Below are 17170 nucleotides of genomic sequence, written 5' to 3'. Positions count from 1 at the left end.
CATGCTATTTGGTTCTGGTTTGGTTGCTTGGGGATAGTGGTAAAAATAGAGCCTTCTGTTTTAAAATGGAGGGAGCAGGAATTGCTTTCTTGCTGTTGACTGCTTGTCCCAGGAGGTTCTACCCAACAAGTGACCGAATTGCCTCTCTTATATCATAAAGCATAGCTAGGTTCAGGAGCCTCTCTTATATCATAAAGTGTAGCTGAGTTCAGGAGCCTCTCTTATATCATAAAGCATAGCTAAGTTTGGGAGCCTCATATCATAAAGTATAGCTGAGTTCGGGAGCCTTTCATATAATAAAGTGTAGCTAAGTTCGGGAGCCTCTCATATCATAAAGCATAGCTACGTTTGGGGGTCTGTCTTATATAAGAAAGCATAGCTGAGTTCAGGAGCCTCTCATATAATAAAGAGTAGCTGAGTTCGGGAGGCTCTCTTATCTCATAAAGCATAGCTGAATTCAGGAGCCTCTCAAATATCATAAAGCTTAGCTAAGTTTGGGAGCCTCTCACATAATAAGGCATAGCTAGGTTCGGGAGCCTCTCTTATATCATAAAGCATAGCTGAGTTCGGGAGGCTCTCATATAATAAAGCATAGCTAAGTTTGGGAGTTGATTGCTGCTATGTTCATTGTTCAGTCTTTACAACAATAGGACTTAAGAGCCTGATATTGGTGATTTCTTGTTTTCGAATATTCTGATTTCTCTGTCAAAAGCCTGTGTTCCAGTGAAATCCAAAGCAGAATTCCAAAGGTTGGTGGAAATGATTAAGGTTCGGCCTCTGCCATAGGTTCCTGCTGTATGTTTACATTGTACGCCCCTCAGTATTGGTGTTCTGACATCAGGATCTTGTGTGTGCAGTGAGGTTTGTGTACTGTGGGGTTAAACTTCCTTTCGTTATGGCAAGGAGGTACACAGGAGTTCTCTCACAGTGTATATTGGTGAGAAACAGCTGTTTGGATTCTATTCTTAAAGGAAATGAATACTTACATTCCAATGTGTTAGAGATCTTGGGTTTTGTCAGTTATACATACTACATAGCTGTGCTATATATGAGTTAGTTTGCCTAATATTTTAGGTACTTATTGATAAGAGTAATCAGAAAACATACATGATTGTCCTACTAGTATCATTTCTTTCTTGAAGGACATAAGGATAACAGTTATTTATTAGGATGTGACACCAGAGAGGAGTAATTTAACTGATTAGGTTTTCTTTATTTTCTGTTTCTGTGAAATAAAAGCAAAGCTAAGAAAGATGGAATTCATGTGGAAAAATCCTTTGCTTCTTTCTAGCTGTTAATGCTAGTTTTCAATTTTCACCATAGATGTCACCAAAGCATAGAAAGTAGTTCAGAGTTAGAAATAAGACAATTGTTTTTAGATTTTTTTATAAAGACAGGGTCTTGCTCTCTTGCACAGGCCGGAGTGCAGTGGCGCGATCTTGGCACACGGCAGCCTCACTTCCCAGGGTCAAGCAGTCCTCCTACCTCAGCCTCCCAAGTAGCTGGGATAACAGGTGCCTGCCAGCATGCCTGGCTAATTAAATTTTTTTTTTTTTTTTTTTTTTTTTTTAGAGATGGGGGTCACGCTATGTTGCTCAGGCTGGTCCCAAACTCCTGGGTTCAAACAGTCCTCCTACTTTGGCCTCCCAAAGTGCCAAGATTATAGGTATGAGCCACTAGGCAATTCTATGCCTAGCCTGTAATTTTATCTAATATTATAAATTTCTCATGCTGTTTAACTTTTTGAGAAATATTACATCAGTACACAAAGTGCTTATGTTAGAATGTATTGCTTTGGTTGAGAGAAATAGATGAAGTCCTTTTTGAAAATGAGCTAATTGTGATGCTTCTCTTAGTGATTTTGTGATGTATGTAGGAATCCTGAACACGGGATCAGGCAGCCTCTGGTTCTGTCACTGAGTAACTGGATTATAATGGTCAAGCTTAAACATTTTTTAAGTTAGTTTTTTAAAAAAAGAACTTCATTGAGATATAATTCACATCTCATATACTTCACTCATTTAAATTGTATAGTTCTGTGTATTTTTTTTAACATAGTCTCAGAGTTGTTTAGCCATTACCTATTTTAGAACATTTTCCTTCTTTCTAAAATAAAACTTGTACTCATTATATGGATTGTATAATTACTCAGTATTTAACGATTTGTGGGACTACCAGGTTGTTTCCTAAGTGATAAACCATTTTACTTTCCCACCAGTAAGTATGAGGGATCTTTCTTCTCATTTTTGTCAACACCTGTATTCTCTGTTTTTTAAACTACAGCCTTCTAGTGTGTTTGAAGTCGCCTGTCTTTGTGGTTTTGATTTCTATTTCCATAATGATTGATGATGTTGAACATGTTTCTATATGCTTATTGACTATTTGTGTATCTTCTTTTAGTGAAATGTTTCTTTATTCTAATTGAGTTTTTTTTTTTTCTTTTTCTTTTTCTTTTTTTTTTGCTGTTGAACCATCTCTAAAAACTAGTACCTTCAAGGCCAGGCATGGTGGGCTCACACCTATAATCCCAGCACTTTTGAAGGTGGAGGTGGGAGGATGACTTGAGGCCTGGAGTTCAAGGCCAGCCTGGGCAACAGAGTGAGACCACATCTCTACAAAAAATTTAATAATTAGCTGGATGTGGTGGTGTGTTCTTGTAGTCCCAGCTATTCGGGAGGTGAACCTGGGAGGATCGCTTGAGCACAGGAGATTGAGACTGCAGTGAGCCACACTGCACTCCAGCCTGGGCAAGACAGTGAGATCTTGTGTCTAAAAACCCCCTCAAAAGTAGTCCTTCATAATGGAGTTATTATGAGGATTGAAATAATTGATATATGTGAAATACTTAGCACAGTACCTGACACATAGTGAGTGCTCCTCTCATGTTGGTTATTATTGTTATTATTGCCTAAAGTAATTCTTTCATGCGTTTCATGTTTCCTGGTCATTCTATTTTAATTCCTCTGATATGAGTTGTGAAAAAAATCTTCAACTCCCATTTTCACCAACCTTGGTCCTTCCTACATGTGTTCAATTGTTCATTTGTTCGTTTATCCTTCATTTAGCAAGCATTTACCGAATGCCTATTATGTGTCATGTTTTGTGATAGAACCTGATGCTGCAAACTGGAAAAAAAAAGGATGAAAGTCTGGAGGGAAATTCAAATGATAGTTGGAGAGCAATGAGAGCTTTATTGTAGGTATTTGCAAGCTTCGGTGAAGTATTCAGAGAAGGGTTTGGTGATAAGCTGAAACTGGAGGGATGAGTGGGAGTTTCTGATGCAAATATTGAGGTCAGTGTTATGGATAGTGCAAGGGTATGTTCAAAGGCATAGGAATTTGAAGACATTGAATGTTCGGGGTAAGATGAGATTTATAGGATGCTGCCATGGGTTGTGCTGATAGGAGTTGGGAATGTGATATGAACAGCTGGAGACGGGAGTACCAAATAGGAAAGCACCTCTCTTGCTTCTGGATCTTTAATGCTCAGAAAATTCTTCCCTCTCTCCTTTTTACATATTTAGCTTTTCATTATGAAATGTGTTACTTTTCATTATCAAATGTTCCTCCTTGTCTCTAGTAATATGTGTGTCTTAAAGTGTATTTTGTTTGATATTAATATAGTCACTGCAGCATTCTTATGATTACTGGTTTGTTTTCTTTTGAACTTGTTTGTATCTTTGAATCTAGTATATATCTCCTATAGACAGAATATGGTCGAGTCTTGCATTTTTGGTTCTCTTTTCCTTTCCCCTCCTCTCTCCTTCTCTCCCTCTCTCCCCCTCTCCTTTTTCCCTCTCTCCTTCTCTCTCTCTCTCTCTCTCTTTTTCTCTCTCTTTCTCTCTCTCTCTTTCTCTCTCTCTCTCTCAATAAGGTCTCGCTTTGTTTCTCAGGCTGGAGTGCAGTGGTGGAATCAAAGCTCACCGTAGCCTTTATCTCCTGGGCTCAAGCAGTTCTCCTACTTAAGCCTCCCATGTATCTAGGAATATAGGTGCATGCCACTGTGCCTTTTTTTTTTTTTTTTCAGATATAGAGTCTCGCTTAGTTGCCCAGGCTGATCTTGAACTCCTGGCCTCGAGTGATCCTCTCACTTTGACCTCCCAAAGTGTTGAAATTATAGACATGAGCCATCGCACCCAGCTGAAGCTTGCTTTTAAAACTCCAGCCTGATGGTCTCTTCCTTTTGATGTGAATGTTTGGTACATTCATGCTTAATGTAATTTTGGATATGGTTGGATTTATGTCTGCCATTTTGATTTTTGTTTTCTATAGGTTTGATGTCTTTTTTGTCTTCCTCTGTTCTTCTATTACATTTGCGTTAAATATTTTTGGAGTGTACCGTTTTAATTCATCTGTTGATTTTTTTAAAAGTCATCTGTTGTTGTTGTTGTTGTTGCTCTAGTGCTGTACTGCCCACTGCAGTAGCCACTAGCTACATGTGGCTGTTGTGCACTTGAAATGTGGCTAGTCTGAATTTATGTGTGCTAAAGTGAAATACAAATCAGATTTCAATGACTTAATAGGGAATGTAAAATATTCATAATTTTTGTATTGATTATATGTTGTCATAATACTTTGGATATGTTGGATTAAATAAAATATGTTGTTAAAGTTTCATGTTTTAAAAACCTTTAAAATATTACTAGAAAATTAAAAATTATATATGTGACTTATATTTATGGTTCTCATATTTCTGTTGGATAGCATTGCTTTAAGGATTACAGGATGAATCTTGAACATAGCATAATCTGAAAGTTTTATAGTTACTTAATCTAGTGAAGTATGGTAACTTTGTTCCCATACAGCTTCATCCCTCCCCATTCTGCATTGTGCTATTTTTGTCATGTACTGTCCATCTATATATGTTATCCACTGAATAATGGTTTTTACCTTAAGCCAATCTTAGGATTTGTAAAGAAATTAAAAATACAGTATATAATATACAGGCTTTTATATTTACCTACATATCAACAATTTCCAGTATTCCTTCTTATGGAGTTTGCTTTTTTTTTTTTTTTTTTTTTTTTTTTTGGAGACAGAATCTTGCTCTGTCACCCAGGCTGGAGTGCAGTGGCATGATCATAGCTCACTGTAGCCGTGAACTCCTGGGCTCAAGGGATCCTCCTACCACTTGCCCCAACTTGGACTATAGCGTTAGGGAACAAAGGTAAGGTTTTTCCCTTTTTGTCTCCCACCACATTTGCTACTTTAGCTGATAAAGACCTGGAGTTTTGCCCCCCATCCCGCAGCAGATCTGCCCCTTCTGGTAGCAAAGATACTGGCTTTTGCAGACAGCCCCAAGTTTGTCAAAGTTTTCACCACGGCAGCTGAGTGTAGGGTAGAAGCAGCCTGAGGCAAGGAGGTCCTCTAGAAACTGACTTCAACCTCGAGGTGATTTTCAAGAATGAATGCTTTCTACAAGGAGGTCCCCAGAAACTGACTTCAACCTCGAGGTGATTTTCAAGAATGAATGCTTTCTACAAGGAGGTCCTCTAGAAACTGACTTCAACCTCGAGGTGATTTTCAAGAATGAATGCTTTCTACAAGGAGGTCCCCAGAAACTGACTTCAACCTTGAGGTGATTTTCAAGAATGAATGCTTTCTACAAGGAGGTCCTCTAGAAACTGACTTCAACCTCGAGGTGATTTTCAAGAATGAATGCTTTCTACAAGGAGGTCCTCTAGAAACTGACTTCAACCTCGAGGTGATTTTCAAGAATGAATGCTTTCTACAAGGAGGTCCCCAGAAACTGACTTCAACCTCGAGGTGATTTTCAAGAATGAATGCTTTCTACAAGGAGGTCCCCAGAAACTGACTTCAACCTCGAGGTGATTTTCAAGAATGAATGCTTTCTACAAGGAGGTCCCCAGAAACTGACTTCAACCTCGAGGTGATTTTCAAGAATGAATGCTTTCTACAAGGAGGTCCCCAGAAACTGACTTCAACCTCGAGGTGATTTTCAAGAATGAATGCTTTCTACAAGGAGGTCCCCAGAAACTGACTTCAACCTCGAGGTGATTTTCAAGAATGAATGCTTTCTACAAGGAGGTCCCCTAGAAACTGACTTCAACCTCGAGGTGATTTTCAAGAATGAATGCTTTCTACAAGGAGGTCCCCAGAAACTGACTTCAACCTCGAGGTGATTTTCAAGAATGAATGCTTTCTACAAGGAGGTCCCCAGAAACTGACTTCAACCTCGAGGTGATTTTCAAGAATGAATGCTTTCTACAAGGAGGTCCCCAGAAACTGACTTCAACCTCGAGGTGATTTTCAAGAATGAATGCTTTCTACAAGGAGGTCCCCAGAAACTGACTTCAACCTCGAGGTGATTTTCAAGAATGAATGCTTTCTACAAGGAGGTCCCCAGAAACTGACTTCAACCTCGAGGTGATTTTTCAAGAATGAATGCTTTCTACAAGGAGGTCCCCAGAAACTGACTTCAACCTCGAGGTGATTTTCAAGAATGAATGCTTTCTACAAGGAGGTCCCCAGAAACTGACTTCAACCTCGAGGTGATTTTCAAGAATGAATGCTTTCTACAAGGAGGTCCCCAGAAACTGACTTCAACCTCGAGGTGATTTTCAAGAATGAATGCTTTCTACAAGGAGGTCCCCTAGAAACTGACTTCAACCTCGAGGTGATTTTCAAGAATGAATGCTTTCTACAAGGAGGTCCCCTAGAAACTGACTTCAACCTCGAGGTGATTTTCAAGAATGAATGCTTTCTACAAGGAGGTCCCCAGAAACTGACTTCAACCTCGAGGTGATTTTCAAGAATGAATGCTTTCTACAAGGAGGTCCCCAGAAACTGACTTCAACCTCGAGGTGATTTTCAAGAATGAATGCTTTCTACAAGGAGGTCCCCAGAAACTGACTTCAACCTCGAGGTGATTTTCAAGAATGAATGCTTTCTACAAGGAGGTCCCCTAGAAACTGACTTCAACCTCGAGGTGATTTTCAAGAATGAATGCTTTCTACAAGGAGGTCCCCAGAAACTGACTTCAACCTCGAGGTGATTTTCAAGAATGAATGCTTTCTACAAGGAGGTCCCCAGAAACTGACTTCAACCTTGAGGTGATTTTCAAGAATGAATGCTTTCTACAAGGAGGTCCTCTAGAAACTGACTTCAACCTCGAGGTGATTTTCAAGAATGAATGCTTTCTACAAGGAGGTCCCCTAGAAACTGACTTCAACCTCGAGGTGATTTTCAAGAATGAATGTTTTCTACAAGGAGGTCCCCTAGAAACTGACTTCAACCTCGAGGTGATTTTCAAGAATGAATGCTTTCTACAAGGATGTCCCCAGAAACTGACTTCAACCTCGAGGTGATTTTCCAGAATGAATGCTTTCTACAAGGAGGTCCCCAGAAACTGACTTCAACCTCGAGGTGATTTTCAAGAATGAATGCTTTTTCATTTGTTCTCTGCTTTGGTCTATTTTCAGTGCTCTGAAATGTTATTTTTAATATAATTTTTTCCAAATTTTATAGTTGTTTTATATAGTAACAAATTACTGACTTCTCCACATAGCTGTAACTAGAAGTCCTTCAGAACTCTTACTTTTCCTTCAGGTTTTCTTCCTCCGAGGAGACTTCCCTGCCTCACACTGCTGCTTTGCTTCAGGTCTCTCTGCTCTGTGTTCTGGTAATATCCTGTGCTTTCTATTGTCAGATTAATTGTCCTTATGCTAGACTGTAAACTCCAGGAAGCCAGGTACTTTTAAAATATTACATTTCTTTCTAAACACAATGTCTGGCACATGGTAACAAATATCTGTGGGATGAATAAATGTTAAACTGGCATTTTGAATCTGGTTTGGTACCATGTTCACTTTAAATGCCGTTGAGGGCCAACTGTGAGGTACTTAATACATTAAATGTTTTGCATATTTTATTTACTCCTTAAAACAAAGTTAACAGTGTTGCCTCCATGTTATAGATAAGAAGTCTGAAGCTAGAAAAGTTAACTAAGTTGTCCTCTAAATATTATAAATATTAAGTGTGAAGCCAAGATTCTCAGTCCATGTCTAAAGCTCATACCGTATACCATATGCTAAGTACGTTGCCTCATGCGGTGGTTAGAAGGGATATTTATCCACAGTTATTTTCATTTAAAGGAAGCTTCTAAATGGTAATATTATTTCTTAATAGTATTTCTGAGCACTGCCCTTTACCGTGTGCAAAGCAGTCTGCTTGCTGTATTCTCTATCTGCTTTTCTTGTGCGTTTTTCATGAGAGTCATATAACATAGGTAGTTCCCCAAAGGATATTAATGTACTGGCCTATACCTCGAAGACTCTCGCTTATTGTGTAGTCCCTTTTTCATATTCTGTGCACAAAAAGGTTTTTTTTTTTTATATCAGAAAGTATAACATTGTATAACATAGGATTGTATAACAATCTTATAATGTATAACAGGATTCACATCATACACGGCGGGAGGGGTAAACTATGTAATAAGTGGTCAATTTCTCCCACCCTTTCTCTCATTGTCATATTGTCTATAGAGACCAAGAGGTAAAACATAGTTTGTTGTTCTTGGGTCAGTCTCAGTTCTTATATGGTCTCCTCAGTAACATGAGTGACTGACAATTTTTTTTTTTTTTTAACAATTAAAAGATAACAGAGGTGAAATCTCACTATTGGCCAGGATGGTCTGGAACATCTGGCCTCAAGCAATCTTCCTGCCACAGCCTCCCAAAAGTGCTGGGATTACAGGCATGAGCCACTGCACCTGGCTGACAATTGCTTTTTTATCAACTTTAGCGCCTCTTTGTTCCTCCTGCTCCCTGGATAAAAATTATTAAAATGTTTAGTCTACCAGTAATCTTTGGTTCCTGACAACACTGAATTCACAACAGACTTCTGTTTTCTTTACCTTCTCCCATATCACCCAGTAGAAAACACAATCTCTATAGCAAGTTCATTTTAACTCCCCTTTGCAGAAATGCCCAGTTTCCTAGAGTACGCATTCTCCTTTTACTGTAGCAAGCCGATAAACCTAACTGGTGGTCTTCTGGCACTGGGCTTTCGCACCTCCAGATAACATGTATGTATTTTAGGCCAGACGCGGTGGCTCATGCCTGTAATCTCAGTACTTTGGAAGGTTGAGGCGGATGGATCACGAGGTCAGGAGATCGAGACCATCCTGGCTAGCACGGTGAAACCCTGTCTCTACTAAAAATACAAAAAATTAGCTGGGCGTGGTGGCAGGTGCCTGTAGTCCCAGCTACTTGGGAGGCTGAGGCAGGAGAATGGTGTGAACCCAAGAGGTGGAGCTTGCAGTGAGCCGAGATCGTGCCACTGCACTCCAGCCTGGGCGAAAGAGTGGCGGAAAAAAAAAAAGGTGTATGTGTTCTACTGCCTTCCTACTCAAAGTATGGTCCGTGGACAGGAGGCATCAGCATCACCTGGAAGCTTGTTACAAGTGCAGAAAAGCCCCACTTTCAGACCTACTGAGTTAGAATCTGCATTTTTAGTGATTGTGTTTGTTTTAAAAAAGTGATTTGTTTGAAAAGCACCGCTCTACACAGTTCCCGCTTTTGATGGTCCATGTCCATTTCATTTCTTGTTCATAGACAATATAATGCACAGTTTGGAGGGCAGTACTATTTATACGGGGTTCTTTACTGAATTCTTTCACTCAGATAATTCTTTTTATTTCCTTTACTGGAAACATTTCTAGTGTTAATTTTAAGTTACAGAAGGTGGGTCCTTTCTCTCCTAGGAATATGACTTAATGCAGTATACACAGATTTGAGGTGGGAGCAGAAATGCAGTAAGGCTTAATATTTATAACATTTTAATATTTTTAAAATATTTATATTTATAAAATACTTTAAAAGCCCGTAGTGCCATGTGAATTTTAAGTATTAAGAATAAATTGAAATACTTAGGAAATGGGTATATCCTAAGTATACTTAGGAAATGGGCATATCCGAAGTATTTCAATTTATTCCTAGTACTTAAAATTCGCATGTAGTTCTCTGTCTCAAATGTTACATGCTCATGATTCACTCAGATCAATTTTCAAGTAAGTATTGTGTTATGCACATAGTTTAAATAATTTACCAATTAAATTCAGTTTGAAAGACATGCTGGAGACAAAAGATAAATTTTCAATATTTGAGCACATAGGAAAAACCTAGTCTTGTAAGATTTTATTCAGTAAAATTCTTAGGCAGAAAATACCTAAGCTTTATCCTGCATGATTTTGATTTGTTTCATTTTTTTTAAATGTATGAATGAAAGATTTCTTTATTATAAATTTGGTCAGGTATTTATCACTGCGTAAGTCCTAGAGAATATTATGTAATGTCCCATGGGTGAAATATTTCTGAGGTATGAAGAAAATCAGCTCAATTCAGCTACTACAAATAATGTCTTTTGACAGATAGTAAATAGGAGAATCAGTTAACTACCTTAGTTGTCTTTTACTGAGCTGTCACAGTATGTTTCCCATTATAATTTTTCTTCCAAACCTAGGCTTTTTAAGGACAGTAATTGTGATACTTTTATTGATATATATACACACATAAAATTTCTATTTTTAGACCAGGTGCAGTGGCTCACGCCTGTAATCTCAGCACTTTGGGAGGCCGAGGCGGGCAGATCACTTGAGGTGAGGAGTTTGACAACAGCCTGGCCAACATGGTGAAACCTTGTCTCTACTAAGAATACAAAAAATTAGCCGGGCGTGGTGGCGGGCACCTGTAATCCCAGCTTCTTGGGAGGCTGAGGCAGGAGAATTGCTTGAATCCGGGTGGCGGAGGTTGCAGTGAGCCGAGATGGCACCACTGCACTCTAGCTTGGGCGACAGAGTGAGACTCTGTCTCAAAAAAAAAAAATTCTGTTTCTAAATATAATCTAATTTTGTTCAATGGTTACATTTTCTTTTTGTGTGTGTGTCCATCTCTGTTTAGAACATTATGGGACCTGATTTTTCTAAATTTAGTCTCAACCTATACATGAAATGGAAACTCTGAAGGTTTATGAGACCTGATTTTAGGGAAAGATGAAGAAACACATTATTTAGCCTGACAGAAAAAGATATCTGAAGGATAATTATCTCTCAGCTTCCATATTATAATATTGCTCCAAAATAGTTGCATTTTATTTTCTAGTTTACCCAGAAGAAAATACTTCATATGAGATACATATATAGTAAAAGTGAGTCATTCCATTTTCCATCCTCCTTTTTTTTAATGGTTGTTTTGTCTAAGACACCAGGTGTCTGCTCCCTGACTAATCAGACTCACCATTCCAGATCTTTTAATTTTATTTAATGCCTTTGTGTTTCCCTTGACTATAAATGTTTCTGTTTATCTTGCACTTCCTCTTCATGTATTGAAGATATCAATAACAGAGTGAAAGCTAGCAAGCTTGTAATATATTTAACATGGCAGGAGAAACAAACATGTTGGCATTTATTCTGGCCTAAGAAAAAGGAGCAGGGTTTTGCTGAAAGGAGTTATTTGTTAACTTTGGTAGAACTCTTGACCTCAAGTGATCAACCCACCTCGGCCTCCCAAAGTGCTGGGATTACAGGCATGAGCCACCATGCCTGACCCCATCTTGATATTTTGATCATCTTCCAAAAAGCATCATAACAGCTTTTATTTCATGTGATGTATTACCTCTTGCTGCCTGCAGTTTAAAGGATAATGCATTTTTAAACCAAAGAGGCTTCATATCCAAAATAATTGTCTGTAATTCCATTTCAGATATGGCTTTTTGTTGTTGTTGTTGTATATTAGACCAGTGCTTTTCTACCTTTAGTGCAATATGAATCACCTAGACATTTGATTAAGATGTAGATTCTGATTCATTGGTCTGGGGTGGAGTCAGTCTCTCAAATGAAGTCAGGCTTTGTGTTTCAGTAGTTGTGGCCTTCTGCCCTTTTGGGAGGAGAACGTTCTCAGAAAGATTCTTTTTACTGAATATTGAGATCTCTGATCTACCCATCCCCAACACTCATTCAAATGCATTCCCAGCTGGTAGATCCTGCTGTGTAAACAGAGGCCAAGTTGATGATTCCTTTGGTGTCTTTCATGCCTGTAAGGTAATTTGCCTTCTTTCCGCCTCCTGAGGGAAGGAGGGCTACCTCAAGTTCTTGGGCAGGCTAGCCTTGTGCCTGGGTCAATAGGTGGGCAGGCCTGGGACCTGGGTCCATGGGGGTGGGTCTGGAGCCTGGGCCCACTGGGACAGGTCTGGATCTTGGGTTTGAAGGACTAGACCCCGGGTCCATGGGGGAAACCTGGTGGTGAGGTCCACTGGGTGAGTCTGTTGACTGAGCTCATGGGTGCGAGCCTGGAGCATGTGTCTGTAGGGGCTGGCCTGAAGTCTGGCCAGCCTGGCCCTGGAGTGGGCCTTGAGCCTGAGTCTGTGGGGGCCAGCCTGGCACTAGGATTGTCTGGGTGCCTGGGTCCATGTGGATGGGCCTTGAGTTTGAGTCCATGGGGGTTAGCCTGGTGCTGGGGTGAGCCTGGAGCTTGAGTATGCAGAAAGAGACCTGGTTCTTGGGCCTGTGGGGACCTGTCTGGATCTTGGGTCCACAGGGGCAATCCTAGAGCCTGGATCTGTGGGGCAACCTGGCACTAGGGTTGACCAGGGTGGACTTGGACCCTGGGTCTGCTGGAATGAGCTTGGATCCTGGGTCTATTAGAGTCTGGGGTCACAGGGACCAGCCTAGAGCCTGGGATTGGCCTGGTGCTGGGGTGAGCCTGGGTCCACGGGGCTTGGTCTGGAGCCTGGGTTCACAGGTGCTAGCCTGGTGCCTAAGGCTGTGGATGCTGAGTTTACTGAGGCAGGCCTGGACTCTGAGTCTATAGAGTGGGCATGGGTCCTGGGTTTGCTGGAGCGTGGGTCCATGGGTGCTGGCCTGGAGTCTAGGGCTGTGAGGACTGACCTGGCATTCTAGTGAGCCTGGAACCTAGAGTTGTAGCGGCTGACATGGGGCTGGACTGGGCCCGGAGGCTGAGTCTTTGGGTTTCAGTCTGAATCCTGGGGCTACAGGAGCTGGCCTGGAGCCTGCGTTGGGCCTGGAGGCTGGATCCCATAGGTGTCAGCTGGAGGGGTTTGGGGCTATAGGAACTGGCCCGGAGCCTGCGGTTGGCCTGGAGGCTGGATCCCATAGGTGTCAGCTGGAGGGGTCTGGGGCTACAGGAGCTGGCCTGGAGCCCACGGTTGGCCTGGAGGCTGGATCCCATAGGTGTCAGCTGGAGGGATTTGGGGCTACAGGAACTGACCTGGAGCCCGCGGTTGGCCTGGAGGCTGGATCCCATAGGTGTCAGCTGGAGGGATCTGGGGCTACAGGAACTGACCTGGAGCCCGCGGTGGGCCTGGAGGCTGGATCCCATAGGTGTCAGCTGGAGGGGTCTGGGGCTACAGGAGCTGGCCTGGAGCCTGCGGTTGGCCTGGAGGCTGGATCCCATAGGTGACAGCTGGAGGAGTCTGAGGCTGCAGGGGCTGCTTTGATTTTCTTCTAAAAGTGTCAACAGTTATTGGTGTTGAAGGCCTGGTTGAAAATACTTCCATATGTAAACACATTTGTTTCTTTAGCAAACATTTATTCACTGTATAAAATATGCAGGGCACTGCGGGAGACATGGATGGCGATATAAAGAGGTACTGGATGTACTCACTCCTCTAAGGAAGTCCTTGTTGCCTCCAGTACATTGACCAGTCTGAGTTCATTGGTCTTCCTTCATGGTATGAGAACATCTTCAAGTCTTCTGTTTTGACTTGATTGCGGTTTGTGTATGCAACTTTACACAAAAGCATCGATAAACTTGGTCTCTGTTCGCCTCTGTTTCTCACCAGGTAGTGTCTTTAATCACTTTAATGCCATCCCAAGTTTATCATTTATACCTGTTAAAATAATTTCAGGTATCATAATAGGTTTTGTTTTTATTTTTTTATGGAAAAACTGCTGGTTATCTACCAGATATTCGCTGGGCACTTCTTTAATAAAAGAACTTCAGTTTTATTCGAGGTGGCAGTAAGCCCAGCTAAAGAATGAAATGTTCCGACTTTCTAGACATGGCCATGTGACTGAGTTCTGGCCAGTGAGAGTAAGTCCTTTAAGACTAGAGGCCTAGAGAGTCAGAGAGTGTCAGTTTTGCTCCTCTTCATCCATTTACACCATTTTTCCTCTTCCTCAAAATTGCCAGCTCCTCTGAAGCATTTGCCATTCTACTCCCCATTACCTCACCTTCCAGTTATTCCTTAACATTCATGGCTCACTTTTTCTTTCTTTATCATTACTGGCAACATCATTCTTAGCGAATTGAGCATCCATCTGACACCTGGGCTGTTTGTCCCCACTTCCAATTCTCTTTGCCTTTACCTTACCCTAGCTACCTCTTCCCATGGCCATAGCCTAGGACAGTAGCCCATGGCTATACCCATGGCCACACCCCAGCACAGTAACTATTACTTCAGATATCTCAATTTCAAGATTCCTACTTTTCAACAACTGCATGTTACAGGTATCTAGCACAGAACCTGACATCACATAATAGGCGCTTGGTGAGCATTATTGCTGTTCCTGCTATTCTGCCTCTGTCGTAGCATCAACAGTCCTTGAAAATAGGAACTGTCTTATTGATCCTTATATATCCAGAACCTACCAGAGCCATGGTACAAAAAGACTCTTAGTGTATTTATGGGACCAGTAATGAAAGAACAGCAACAATAGGAAGGATATGGCATTCAGAAGAAGGTCTTTAAAAGATAATTAACATTTTCCATTTAAAATATCACATAGTTTTTAAAAAGCATTCAAGTAATGACATTTCAAAAGTTGTTTTCTTTCTCATTTTCTCTGGGGGGAAATAGATGTTATAGTTTATTGCCATTGGGAATCTTTTTGCTTAGTCAAGGTTGATCAATTACGAATTTCCATTTCTGAGGATTATTATAAATGAGCTATAAACAGGGAGATTGCTTTTTAGTGAAATGGGTTAGTTTACCTGAAAAGAGTTAATTATCTTTTTTCTCCTGTATTGAAAACTATTCGTATTAGCCTAGTGTGTATAGGAGAGGATGAAGGTGATGCATTAAGATTTTCTCAGCCTTCCTTATTATCTAGGTAGAAAAATAAAAGTATTTAATGTACTGTATTATCTCTGAATATTTTTCTGAGATATGAGAAAAATGTGTAGAAGTTTTCCATCTATTTGGGTATGGACGTTGACTTTTCAGAACTTTTTTTTTTCTTTCTTTCTTTCTTTTTTTTTTTGAGACAGAGTGTTGCTCTGATCCTCAGGCTGGAGTGCAGTGGTGTGATCTCGACCTCCCTGGGAGGTGCAACCTCCACCTCCCAGGTTCAAGTGATTCTCCTGCCTCAGCCTCTTGAGTAGCTGGGATTACAGGTGTGTGTCACCATGCCTGACTAATTTTTGTATTTTCAGTGGAGATGAGGTTTCACCGTGTTGTCCAGGCTGGTCTTGAACACCTGGCCTTAAGTGATCCATCCGCCTTGGCCTCCCAAAGTGCTGGGATTACAGGCGTGAGCCACCATACCCGGCCTTTTCAAAACTTTTAAAAGTCAGTTGGATTAATGATTTTTCCAGAAACATTAGGTTCATTGTTATTGTATTCATATTTGGTTGCTTTCAGGCTAAGAAGTAGTTACTGTTTAGCTATACCTATGGTTACTTCTGCGAATAACTTCAACTGTTACGTTAATTCAGTAATTTTTCATTGTTAGATATGTGAAGGACCTGAAAATAACCAGGAAAAACATCCCAAGAGTTATAAACATTCAAAGCTTTATAAAATTCTGATTTTCTAGAAAGGCTAAGCTGTTTAATATATTAGTATTGTTTAATCTATTAGTTCTAAGATATTTCAAATAATATCTAGAAACAGCTTTTGAAAGTTTGCAATTTAAAAATCTTAATAATAAAACCGTGATGATAATGAGTAATAGTTACTGAGCACTCCTGTGAGCCAAGAATGATATTAAGTTTTTAAAAGTTTTATTCTTATTACACCCATGTAATGTTATTATTATTATTTATTATCATTTTAGTTCAGTGGTTTCAAGAGATTAAATTGCTTAGTATTACACAGTTGCTAAATGGTTGTATTAGTTAGGGTTCTCCAGAGGGACAGAAGTAATGGAATATATGTGTGTGTGTGTGTGTGTGTGTGTGTGTGTGTATGTATGTGTGTGTAAGTATATATATACTTAATAATATATATATAAAATATTGTTTTCTTTCTCATTTTCTCTGGGGGGAAATAGATGTTATAGTTTATTGCCATTGGGAATCTTCTTGTTTAGTCAAGGTTGATCAATTACAAATTTCCATTTCTGAGGATTGTTATAAATGAGCTATAAACAGGGAGATTGCTTTATATATATAATATATTTATATATACTATATAAATATATTATATATAATTATATATACTATATAAATATATTATATATAATATATAAAAATAATATATTAAATATATTAAATTATATATAATATATTAAATATATTATATATAATTATATATAATATATAATATATTATATTATATATATAAAGGGGAGTTTATTAAGTATATATATGTGTATATATATATGTGTGTGTGTATATATATATATATGAAGGGGAGATTATTAAGTATTAACTCACACAATCACAAGGTCTCACAATAGGCCATCTGCAGGCTGAGGAACAAGGAGAGCCAGTCCGAGTTTCAAAACTGAAGAACTTGGAGTCTGATGTTCAAGGGCAGGAAGCATTGCATGGGAGAAAGATGTAGGCTGGGAGACTAGGCCAGTCTCTCTTTTTACATTTTTCTGCCTGCTTTTATTCTAGCTGTGCTGGCAGCTGATTAGATGGTGCCCACCCAGATTAAGGGTGGGTCTGCCTTTCCCAGTCCACTGACTCAAATGTTCATCTCCTTTGGCAACACCCTCACAGACACACCCAGGATCAATCCTTCAATCCAATCAAGTTTACACTCAGTATCAACCATCACAGTGGTCAACTAAATTTTAATTCCAGGCCACGTGGCACTAGTGTAAGCTATTTAATTACAGTATTATATTCTTTCATAGTGCCTAGTTGTGAAATACAGACACAGTCTGTGAGAAATGAGTTTGTAAAACAGGCACTCAACAAATGATTAAATTCACTAAGAAAACTCAGTAGAAAATATGCAAATGC

The 17170-nt window shown here is 39.9% G+C and overlaps 1 protein-coding gene across 7 annotated transcripts in view, besides 1 other annotated feature; it reads left to right on the top strand.

The window, feature by feature from the left end:
- SMYD3 (SET and MYND domain containing 3) overlaps positions 1 to 17170 on the top strand; it is a 757933-nt gene that overhangs the window by 112035 nt on the left and 628728 nt on the right. The window contains exon 1 of one of the 7 annotated variants that reach the window (XM_047428019.1): positions 4025 to 5166. The exons of the other annotated variants lie outside the window; for them this stretch is intronic. Coding sequence (XP_047283975.1) covers positions 5075 to 5166 — 92 coding nt within the window. The 5' untranslated portion in view covers positions 4025 to 5074. Of the gene's footprint in view, positions 1 to 4024; positions 5167 to 17170 lie in introns of those variants that run through there. 7 annotated transcript variants of the gene reach the window in all.
- Positions 8612 to 8812: a silencer, noted in NCBI's record as "peak812 fragment used in MPRA reporter construct". NCBI's record gives its function as "represses an SCP1 promoter by STARR-seq MPRAs in K562 erythroleukemia cells {active_cell/tissue: K562}" and the evidence as "EXISTENCE:reporter gene assay evidence [ECO:0000049][PMID:32103011]".

The sequence above is a fragment of the Homo sapiens genome, chromosome 1 (assembly GCF_000001405.40).
Source record: "Homo sapiens chromosome 1, GRCh38.p14 Primary Assembly".
NCBI classification, from domain to species: Eukaryota; Metazoa; Chordata; class Mammalia; order Primates; family Hominidae; genus Homo; species Homo sapiens.
Note: the sequence above shows the minus strand (reverse complement) of the source record. Positions and strands in the feature narration are given on the sequence as shown.